The sequence below is a fragment of the Homo sapiens genome, chromosome 8 (assembly GCF_000001405.40).
Source record: "Homo sapiens chromosome 8, GRCh38.p14 Primary Assembly".
Classification (NCBI taxonomy): Eukaryota; Metazoa; Chordata; class Mammalia; order Primates; family Hominidae; genus Homo; species Homo sapiens.
The window spans coordinates 102,051,500-102,063,514 of NC_000008.11; the positions used below are offsets into that span (position 1 = coordinate 102,051,500).

Here is a 12,015-nt window from a genome sequence, read left to right on the forward strand (position 1 = left end):
TTTTACTCATTTTTTTCATTGTTATAAAAATATAAAACTGCCTTTTCTGCACAATAATTCTTTTCTTTCGTCAACTGGTTTACAAAAGGTGAATGAATGAATCTCAAACTCATTTACATGGATGAATCTCAAATACATTCTGCTAATTCAACTGCTGCTGCTTTTCCAATGTTCCTGAGCTGACATTTGCGTTATTCAGCAGCACGGTACTCCGAAGGGCAATAGCCTTGAACCCTTTCAGCTCATGACCAAGCTATCAGAACACAGAAGTCCAAAATCACAGTGTGCCATGCAAAATCCAAACTACAATGTACCAAGTTTATCACGTTTCATTACTTCAGTATGTTTAAAACACAAGACTTCTGGAAGATATTCGTCTAAGGTATTTATTCTGAACAATAACAAGGAACTATGCTGAAAAAGAAATTTCAATAAAAACTAAAGTAGAACTTCAAATGGACAGAAGAATGCACATTTCCAAACAGCGACTTGCCCAGAGAATGAAACCCACCAGACTTTTTCCATCTACAAAGAAGCTGAATGTAATGTTCTTTGGGTTTTTATCAACAGCCAGGTAAATGGGAAGAATCTCTCAGAAGCACTTTATGAAGTTATACAAAGAACTACTTTTAAAGCATTTCATGGTTGGCAGCTTAAGATAATATTTTTTTTAATTTTTAAGGAAAGGCTTCTTAGTTCTTCTGATGTGTTGATAACATGTGCTGCAGATCTCAGTAATTGCAGCAGATCAATTTTGATGACACAGTTGAAAATATTACATCCTAAGAGCATGGAAATCCAAAGGAAAAACCCTCCCACTGGGTTAGGCACATTTTATCTAATGCATTAGGACCTAATGAAAATCACACATCACACAACTCCATTCACAGGCTCCCTCTTGACTGCCTGGACAGCAGACCCACCTGCCATGACAATGTTTTGGTGTCAACTCTGAAGGCATCTGCCTTTCTCTCATAGAGGACTTCTCCCTCTCAAAAGTATTTTCACTTATGTTATCTTAGAAGGTAAGGAGAGCTTGAAGTGGTTAAATCCACACATAATTCAGGAACTTTATTTTCCTTAAAGACTTCCATCTCTTCCCCAACCTGGTAACAGTTTCCAAAATGGACAAAGCTGAATCTCACCTCTTCGGCTTTGTTTTCCCACATTTGAAATGAAACAGGCATGAAACTGGCCAACTTTTCCCGTAAAGGCCAGAGAGTAAATATTTTAGGCTTTGCAGGCCATTCCGAGTCTGTTGAAATTACTCAGCTCTGCAGTTGTAGCACAAAAACAGCCACAGAGAAGACACAAATGAATCAGTGTGGCTGTGTTCCCACAAAATTTCATTTATGGACATTGAAATTTAAATTTCCTGTAATTTTTATGTATCATGAAATATTATCCATCTTTTGATTTTTTCCCCAGCCATTTAAAAATGTTAAAACCATTCTTAGCCTGAGGGTCATACAAAAACAAGTATTGGGCCAGACTGAGCCCACAGGCCAGAGTTTGCCCTAAAAGAAATCTCAAAACATTTCATAGTCACATATAAACAGGAGCCAGATCCTTCTACTGGAGTGAACTGTAGAATCCCACAAGGAGACAAGCTCCCAATTTGCAAATATAAAGAGCAATATGCCCAGAAACTCTTTGTCTGTATGTTTAAAAATTCACCATATGTCATAATCTCATTTCATGTCTTATGAAATTCAGACCTAATGAAGAAATCTTGATTTTTTTAAAATCTAATTTAATATGTCCTCTCAACATTAAGAGATGTTTAAATAGTATGTAAATACTGATATTAAATATGTATTTGGTATTTTAAATATAGATTTAAATAGTAAATATTTTTAATTGGAATATTTAAAAATGTCATTTCTATTCTTAACTGGCTATAAAAAGCAGTTAAGTAGGAAGAGAGGTGCTATGAGTAACACCGCTTGACCACGTACCATACATCAGGCACTGGATTCAGCATTTTCCGTGTGTGATTCATTTAATCCTCACAGCAGCTTTGTGAGGCCACTCATTGTTATTCTCATTTTACAGTGGAGCAAACCGAGACATGAAGCTAATACACAGTGGAGCCAGGATCCCAGACAATTCAGCTCCAAAGCTGGCAACGTTAACCACCTAGTAATACTAACATATACCAGAGGAATTAGATGTCATTTCTCTTTGACTTTGAATCAGTAATCTTTTAGGATTTCAATGGCCTCTCATTTTTTATGTATTTTTACTTTACTTTTACTGACACACAAATGCATATTTTTAAGGACTCTGAGTCTTAAAATTGATTTGCCAATTTAGATAAAATATATATAAGGAAGCTACCCAACTATGCACAAAAAATCTTAACTCTTTATTCACATATAAATCGAATGCTCTCCCAGTTCTATACATATGTGATTCTTACACAGTTTGAAATGCTTTACATCTTTCTTTCTAACGTAGTAGAATATGTCAATCTATACATATGTGATTCTTACACAGTTTGAAATCTTTCTTTCTAACATAGTAGAACATGTCAATGGTGATTTTCCTCACTGACCTTCATGGCATCCCATACAGGTAAAGAACTAAGATAAAAGCAGAGTCAAATCTTTCTTTCAGTCATTCACTCACACGTTCAGTCAGAAACACATGCACTGAATATGCTTACCATGTGCAAGCCATTGTCTCAGGGGCAGGGAGGTTTACAAAATGAATAGTGTCCCTTGATGGTTAATTTTACATGTCAACTTGACGAAGCCACCATACCCAGATATTTGGTCGAACGCCAGTCTAGATGTCACTGTAAAGGTTATTTTTTTGGATGGGATTAGCTTTTTAAATCCGTAAATTAGAGTAAAGCAGATTACCCTTGATAATGTGGGTGGCCAACTGCACCACTACACAGTATATTCAGGTAAGAAACTTGCACCTGTACCCCCTAAATATATAAAAATAAATGACTAAACAAGATAATGTGAATGAGCCTTGTCCAATTAGTTGAACTCCTTAGGCAGAAAAGATTGAGGTCCCCCGAGAAAGAATTCAGACCGCCTTTAGACTTTAGCTACATCAGCTTTTCTCTGGGTCTCCAGACTGCTGGTCTGCCCTACAGATCGCAGACTTGCTAGGCTCCATCTGATATGTCTCTCTCTTTCTCTTCCGATAGATAGATAGATAGATAGATAGATAGATAGATAGATAGATAGATAGATAGATAGATATCCTATAGATAGATAGATAGATCTATAGGATGATAGATATATATTGATAGATGATAGATGATAGATAAGCTCTATCTTTTTCTCTATATTTCTATCTCTATATTTCTTCCTCTGTCTCTATATCTCTGTCTCTATATCCACACACACGTCTTATTGATTCTGTTTCTCTGAAGAACACTGACTAATACAAGTCCCCTCAGAACCATCAGATAGGGTGTGGGGGTGGTATTCTTAAAATTCACCCAGTGTCGATGAGATGTGGACAGAGGGCACTCTCTCAGGCTGCTGGTGTGAGTAGAGATGGTGCAGCCACTGTGAGGAGCAATCTGTCAATATCCAGGTCACTCATCCTGTGACCTGGCCTCAGAAGAGCAACCCGGAAGGACTACAGAGCCAAACCCACTGGGAATCTGCTGAGTGGACCAAAATGATTGCCAAGTGCATTTACACAAAGGCGCCACTCGGTGAGACAATTTCAAAACTATCTCAAATCATTCAAGAATGAGAGACCTAAGTCACATTCATGATATGAAAAAAAAAAAAAAAGAAGAAGAAGCCGGTGGGGCCATGCCTAGTACTTTGGGACTCCATTGCCTCCTAGGGAGGTGCAGCCACTGCTCCTGCTTACCAGCCACCCCAAAATGACCTGTTGTCCTCACAGCCAGAGCAAAAAGCCTACGTTCACGACATAAAGAGAAGAAAGCCCCTAGAACAGTGTCTTCATATAAGTGCTTGACAAATATTAGCTATGATTAAGGACATAAAACTATACATTTCACTGTTTTTATTTTAAGCAACTTGCTACATAAAATGCCTGCCTTCTTTCTAGCACTTCTACCCTGCATATGGTGGTGCCAAATGAACCCTTTTGATGGAACTAGCCAGTTCTGTTGAATAGTCCATTGACTCAGACATAGCTTGATTTACTCTTTTTCCACCAAATTAACAAATGGTGGATATTTGTCAGTCATTAGGCAGTTGGTAAGAGGACCACTCTCACTCTTAAACACAAAACACACAATTGTGTGAAATTTCACAATGAACAGTTGATTACAACAGAAGTAAACTGAAATCGAATTTCTTCCTCAGCTTTCTTATTGTGTTCTTTTTATTTCCTAGTGGGTCTTGATGAACTAAACTACTTTTAAAGCCTCATTTTTCCTGCCTCCTACTATAGATCAAAACAGAGCCCTTCAAATTCATCACAGGGAGCTCATGGTCGGCACAAAACAAACACTGAGAGGTATGTTTCATTACATCCTTAGTGATCTTTTAGAGTGTCATATAATGAATAACATGGATTTCTGGAAGGTAACTTGGCACTCTTCCAGAGGTCAGCCCGCCAGATTCATTTCTAAAGCTTTAACATTTTCTATACCTTTGAACTAAACAATTCCACTTCTTAGAAATTATCCAAAAGGCAAAATAATATCATAAGACATATGGAATGATTTAACTGCATTATTTCTCAATTTTTGAGAAAGAATTTGTGTAACTTCTCTAGTAAGAACAATGGGGCTTATGTTTGTTTTTGCTTGTTTATGTGTGTGTTTTAAGAGCCTGAGCTTTAGGGAGAAGCAAACTCGAGTCAGAACTCTGAGCCTACCCTTTTAAATAGCCACAAGATATGAGGAAGTCACCTGGCTTCTCTGAGTGCCAGCTTTGGGATCTGCAAAATGGCGATAATATATGCCTCCCTCAATGCTCATTACAGACCCTTGCACACCTACATTTCAATAGTAATAACTAATACATGCAGTCAGTGTATTTTTGAAGGAATGGGTGGATACACGATTGAACAACTGAATAAACCATCCAGAGTCTCTCCATGGAGCTGGCTGGTCATGGTGAGGAGGCCAGGCTGTCCCATGGACTAGAGTCCTCCATCTTGGCCACAGGTTTCCTGAGCTGAGAGAAATCACAAGGAGCTATCACCCCTTCACCCTCCCTCACTGTCTGACCAAAGACTTGTTCCACTGTCCCATCCAGTTGATGAGACTTAAAGTCTCTTTAGAGAAAGAAGGCTAAGGCCGTACACCTACTGTGTCCAGGCAGTAGAGCTGGAGCACCTCAGTTAGTGAGCAATTCTCATGGCTCAGGACTTCACTCTGTTTCTTAAACACTGGATGAAAATAGGATTTACATCACTGAGTACTCATGCTGAGAAACAAGACCACAGGCTATGCAGCCATTATTTCAAGTGCTTATCTTATGTTAGAGATACAACCTCTGCATTTATTGAGAAGAAAGTGGAGTCTGACAGTAACTGCTACAAAGTTTTCACCAAGAGCCCTGACAGCTGTCCTTCAAACATTCCTAACAACCCTTATGATCAAGTGAAAACTCTTAAAGTGACCTGCAAAGCCTTTTGTAATCTGCCCCTGCTTACTCCTCTGGCCTCATTTGTGGGCACCTCATGGTAAGACACACCAAAAAGTCTGTAATTTCTCTACTCTTCGTGCTCCCCTTGCCTCTGGGCCTTCGCACATGGTTTTCCTTCTGCCTGGAACATTCTCCCTTCTACTTGGCTAGTTCATACACACACACACACACACACACACACACATATGTACATATAGATAGATAGATATTTCTCATCAGTCTGACTCCTGTATCTCTTTCTTAATTAGTTATAAACTCAAGCAGGAAAGAAGAGTGCTATTTATAGACTTCTTCAACTTACGACCTCAACATCTGTGAGTATACCAAAGAAGGTTTGTAATACACAACTAGGTATTTAATAGAAGTTGTCTCTGGGTATGTTTGGCTGTATTTTATAGTTTTCCTGTTAGAAATATATATTGCTAAAATTTTCATGCTCCAGTGTCTACTGAAAAATAACTGTTTCATTTTACATTTCCACCTGCCTTGATGAGCTAGGATTTAAATTCAAGTCAGTCTGCTTCCAAAGCCCATGCTTTCACTATGTGACCATATGATTTACTATTCTTCCCAGTTTGGGTTAAAATTACTTCTTTTAATTCCACACTCTCCACATTTATCTCTCAGATCCATCTTACATTCACTGCCTAACTTTCCTTTCCTCTTATCCTTTCCCAGGGGTGAAACTTTAAGGGAAAAATTTTTGAATAATAATAAACTACTCACATTCAAGGTACTTTTGAGGCATGAAGCACTTGAATACTAAGCTCTTAGAATCTGAGCTTTTAATACAATAAAATATTCGCTGGAGATTGGATCAGAAAAGGGTGTGTAGGTTACAGTCAATTTAAAGTCCACTATTGCTCAGAGAAAGTATTCAATAAATATCAGCTGATGAGCATTTGAAGATGCATTCCAGAGCACTAAGGAAGATAATTTTCCAGCTGAGAGACTTCAATGTTAGGAGACTTAAAACAGCCAGCAAGGTCTCCTTTTATGATATGTCATCTTTAACTGGGAAAGCAGCTAAAAGAATGAGGACACAGGTCAAACAATATGGTTAGAAAGGAAGGTGAGCAAGATTTACCATTATTTTACCGCACAGGGACACTGTGTCCATCCTGAATGCACCCCTCAGGCAATGAGAATATAAAGTTTTTTACTATAACAATTCAATGACTAGTTGTTTATTGAAAAGCGTATCTATTGCACCCAAACTCCTGTCATTCACAGTGGCTTACCCAATAAATTTCTGGGTCAGTGAGTTAGACAGATAAATAAAATAATAAAAACTAGGAAAAGAAGAAATGGAATGTTCCCACTTACCTATACCTGTCCCTGTGGGCACCATTCATTTTTCCCCCACAAAGAAAGAAATTCCTTCTCTAAAATAGTCAATCAACAGAATTAAGTCAGCTGCTGATATTTTTAAAACTCAGACCTCTGCTGAGAGCATCGCTGTTCCATTTTGCCACACACCGTTTCCATTTCTCAGCTGTACTCTCTCCCTCGCTCTTGGCCTTGGCACAGTTACACTGGGCTTTCTTTTTCTTTCTAAGACAGTCTACACTCTCAGGCATCCATGGTGGCTGCAGAATAATGGCCCCTGAAGATGCCCCATGGCCTAATTCTCAGAACATTGTGAGTATATTTCTCCACATGGCAAAAAAGGACTTTGCAGTTATAATTAAGATAAATGACTTTGAGATGGGTAGATTATCATAGGTTTTTCAGGGTGGTCCAACCTAATCACATGAGTCCAGAAAACCAAACAAAAGTCAGTGTGAGAAGCACTCTGTCCACCGTCACTGTCTTTGAAGATGGAGGAGGGGGCTACAAGGAAAGGAATGCAGACGGCCTTTCTTGGCTGAAAAAGGCACAAAAAGGGATTTTCCCCTAAAGTCTCCAGAAAGAAATGCACTCTGCCAACATCTTGATTTTAGCCCAGTGAGACCCATGTCAGACTTCTGATCTACAGTTATAAATTTGTATTGTTTAATCTACAAGTTTGTGGTAGTTTATTATAGCAAATATAGTTCCGTATGTATTCCCCTTTACCTAGAACATTCTCTCCTACCTCTACTACATGGTAAATGTTTCATTCCTTTCTGCTCCTCAGATATCATCTTCTCCATGAAGACTTTCCAAGGACATCCTCTTGTAAGGTTCTCTGATGGGCTATCCATCCTCTTTGCTCCCAAATCTTCATATATTCACCTCAAGTGGGTATATTGTGATTATTGTTATAAACAGAACTCCATCATCTCCCTGTACTACATATCTTTAATAGCAAAGACCATGTGTTCTCATCTAAGTTCAGGGTCTAGCACATAGCAGGCAGTCCCTGATATTTGAACGAACAAATGGATGAAAGGATGTTTATAACACTCCTAGCTACAGACTGGAATTCTGAAAGACGTCAAGGCAAACATGAACAAAATCAGGCTATAAACATGTAAAACCATTAGTAAAATATCAAAATAGGATCTAAACACTCATTTTTCTAGGTTTACAATACTGCATGAATCACTGCTATGCTACAGTAACATTTAGGAAAGGAAAAGATTGAGTATTTAATGATCTCATAAGAATTATCTGCTAAATTTGTTAACTATTAGGTAGGAGGGGAAAAGTCTTCTTTTCTTTGGTGAGCCCTGAACACCCCACTCCCTGTCCCAGTCTTAAGTGACAGATTTTGGGGTTCTTGGTGCCTTTTAACTATCTAAAGATAGGGCTGTGGTTCTCCAACTTTGCAGGCATCAGGATCCACCAGAGGGCCTGGTAAAACACAGCTGCCAGGGGGCCTACCCTCAGAGTGTCTGATGCAGCAGGTCTGGAGTACGGCCGTGAAGTTTTTTGTTTGCTTGTTTTTGTTTTTTTGTTTTTGTTTTTGTTTGAGATGGAGTCTCACTCTGTCGCCCAGGCTGGAGTGCAGTGGTGCAATCTCAGCTCACTGCAAGCTTCGCCTCCCAGGTTCAAGCGATTCTCCTGCCTCAGCCTCCCGAGTAGCTGGAACTACAGGCATGTGCCACCATGCCTGGCTAATTTTTTTGTATTTTCGGTACAGACAGGGTTTCACTGTGTTAGCCAGGATGGTCTTGATCTCCTGACCTTGTGATCTGCCCGCCTTGGCCTCCCAAAATGCTGGGATTACAGGCATGAGCCACTGCGCCCGGCCTGAAGTTGTATTTCTGACAAGTTCCAGTGATACAGAAGATGCTGGTTAGAGAACATACTTTGAGAATCAATGTTCTAGGGCATAGATCACCCTGGATCTCTGGTTGTGACCACTTCTGGCTTCTCTGGACAGCCAGTCTGAGACCTCACTTCTGAGTCCAGGCACTGGCTGGGCGAGGTAGGATTAGGTAAATACTAATTTCCTTCCTCCCTTCCCTGACCACACAGAACTATTTCTGATGGAACCAGACCCTCATTTAGCCTCAGGTTTCCCCATGCTTATTCCTTTTCCATTGACAATGGCAACACCTCTCCTTTGACTGAGCCCCAGAGCTTGATGATTAAAACAGATCAGCCACAGCATGTGGGCCTGGGAAGCACAGGGCTGCCAGGCAAGTACGGAAAATTCAACAGATTTGAGGGCAGATCTGACAAGATCGCATTACAATCGGTCATCTGTGTCCCGAGTACTTCAGGCTTTAACTCAATCAGACCAAAAAAAAAAATTCACTTCTTCACCAGAAGTAAAACATTGTTTCTAGGCAAGTGGGAAGGCAGCTAAAAGAATGAGGACACAGGTCAAACAATATGGTTAACACTTCCAAAACATACCTAAAATTCTCTTCCATCTCTGCATGGCTTGGCAGCATTATTTACATCTGGAAACAAAGCGACAAAAGCCGCTTTTCCTCATTTTCCACCATTTAGCTTGATCGTGCTCTTTCAGACTTAGAGATGTCCCAGACTCCCGCCCCCACAACACATCCCACACCCAAACAATCTATTCCTTTCTCCCCTCCCTAAAAGTGAAAACTCAGTGAGATAAAGCAGAGGTTCTGGAGAAAGAACAAGGAATCCCATCCAGAAGATTACAGTGGGTCAAGCTGAGTCTCTACAGAATGACCATCTGCAGAATGAGCAGGGAGAAAGCATCAGCTTCTCTCTGAGAACTGCAGACACCCACTTACGGGTAGGAGCCCCCCAGGGTGAATGGATAATCTCTTTTATGGCTCTGATGGACATCCAAGTACTTCATGACTGTGTCCATAGGGTTACCCCAGCAGCCCTGGACCACTGACATTTGGGACCTAAACAAAAGGGAGTTGGTCACCAAAGCAAAAATATTCCAAATTTCACTGCATTCCAGAGTGCAACAGATTATTTTTCAAACCGCCTGCTGTTTGTTACTGCCTACCCAGCACTGGCCTAGACAACTCCTTCAAGTTAAATCTGAAATGGGCTTTGCCGCTTTAAGGCCTCCGAGAACTGAATATAATATATGCAGCTGCATTTCAGCCCTGCTCTCCATGAAATAAGAAATGTGAAATTTTGCTGCTGATTCCCAATAGTCCTAAATTCATAAAAATGAACTTTTGCAGTCATTTGAATAATATTTTTAAATGTATTCAACACTGCTTTCAAATTCCCTTCCCAGGACTGTGTTTTCATTCCAGCCCAGCCGCCACAGACCTCCATACTCGGCAGAATTTTCAGCCGTGCATAAATATAAGCGCATCTACCCTGGTGAAATTTCACGTACACACGGAGATTATTTTTAGTTATGGAACCCAGTCAAAACTTTGTATAAAGCAAAATCAACCAAGAGCAAAATTGGTAGACAAAATGATGATGTTCTTATTTTTTCATCTATTTTTATATTCTTTCTAGACATTTCTAGACATGAGTCAAGAGAAGCAAATGCCTTAACGAAGGCAATTTTGATGATAATGGTGACAACATCACTAGCCAAGTTATTCCTTGACTTTTTGGTTAAATATAAAATCCATATGTAGATAAGATCACATCTACCTATATGTTTCACTTTTCAAAAATGTCGAAGTTGGCTGGGCACAGTGGCTCACGCCTGTAATCCCAACACTTTGAAAGGCTGAGGTGGGAGGATCACTTGAGGCCAGGAGAGGCTGAGAGGAGAAGATCCCTTGAGTCCAGGAGTTCAAGGTTACAGTGAGCTATGATCGCACCACTGCGCTCCAGCCTGTGTGACAGAGCAAGCTGCTGTCTCAAAAACAAACAACAAAAGTCAGAGTAGAGGTAGTCCGCCTTTTTGAAAAAAGGAAAAATAAAGCTTTCATCAGATAAATAGTCAAGCAAAAATTATTGAACACCCACCAGAATGGAAGCCCCCTAAGGGCTGAGACTTGGTCTTTGTTGTTCACTATTGTAGCCTCAGCACCCACCACAATGACTAGCACATAGTAAGTGCTCAGTAAATCCTGTGCTCACATGCTCCAGGGTGCGGCTACCTCATCAATCAGCCAGTTATTGCCACAACAATGCTGTGTGTCACACAACCACAGAATCTCAGTCTCACACAACAATAAACACTTATTTCTTGCTCACAGATCTGTCGGTTGGCTAGAGTTTAGCTGATCCAGGTTGACTGAGCTGGATTCAGATAGGCTCTACATGTCTGTCATCCTCTTTGAACCAACAGCATTTGAAACATGATCTTCTCCTAGAGAAAGAGAGGAGTACAAGGGGCCAAGCCAATCCACAAGCTCTTATAAAGCCTCTGCTTTCATGTCAGGTAATATCCCACTGGCCAAAGCAAGTCACATGGCCAAGCCCAGCATGTGTCCCCTCCCATAGAGGTGGGGTCAGAGAGGGTGCAAATATCTCCCATAGGCTAGCATTTCTAAAACTTGAATAAGGTACTTTCCTTTTAAAGAAAAAAAAATCCTCAAGGACCTCCAGGGTTGACCAGTTATTTTTATTATAACTCACTTAAATATATAGAAATACAAAATGATTTATATGCTTGTAGTCTCATACCACTATAAAATGAATGCACTAATTAAACCCAAAACTGCAAAGCCAATAAAACTCAAAATAACATTAGTGGCATGTAAAGGATTATATTGTTTTGCTGAAACTAAGTTGCTGCTTTCAATTTGAATACGGTGCCGACTGCAATGGCCCAGATTCCCTTGCATTCATCATGCCTGAGCTGCCACGTGCTACATAAAGACCCCATTTCCCGAACATTTTTCTCCCTTCTAAAAACAGCACTCTGTGATATCATTTGGCCTATACTTGACGCAGATGCATTTTTTTAATTAAGCCTATTTTTTCTCATTAGACCATGACAATTAATGAATTTCAACTCAGGACCGACCAATGCTCCAGAAAATCCAAATGCACTAAAAATGAATGAATAGAGGAATAGGTGCTTGTGGTATTAAGCATCATCCAGATGATCTGGAATAAGTAGATA

At 39.9% G+C, this 12,015-nt stretch overlaps 1 protein-coding gene across 12 annotated transcripts in view; it reads right to left on the reverse strand.

The window, feature by feature from the left end:
• Positions 1 to 12,015, reverse strand: part of NCALD (neurocalcin delta) — a 438,366-nt gene that overhangs the window by 364,958 nt on the left and 61,393 nt on the right. The window lies entirely within an intron of this gene.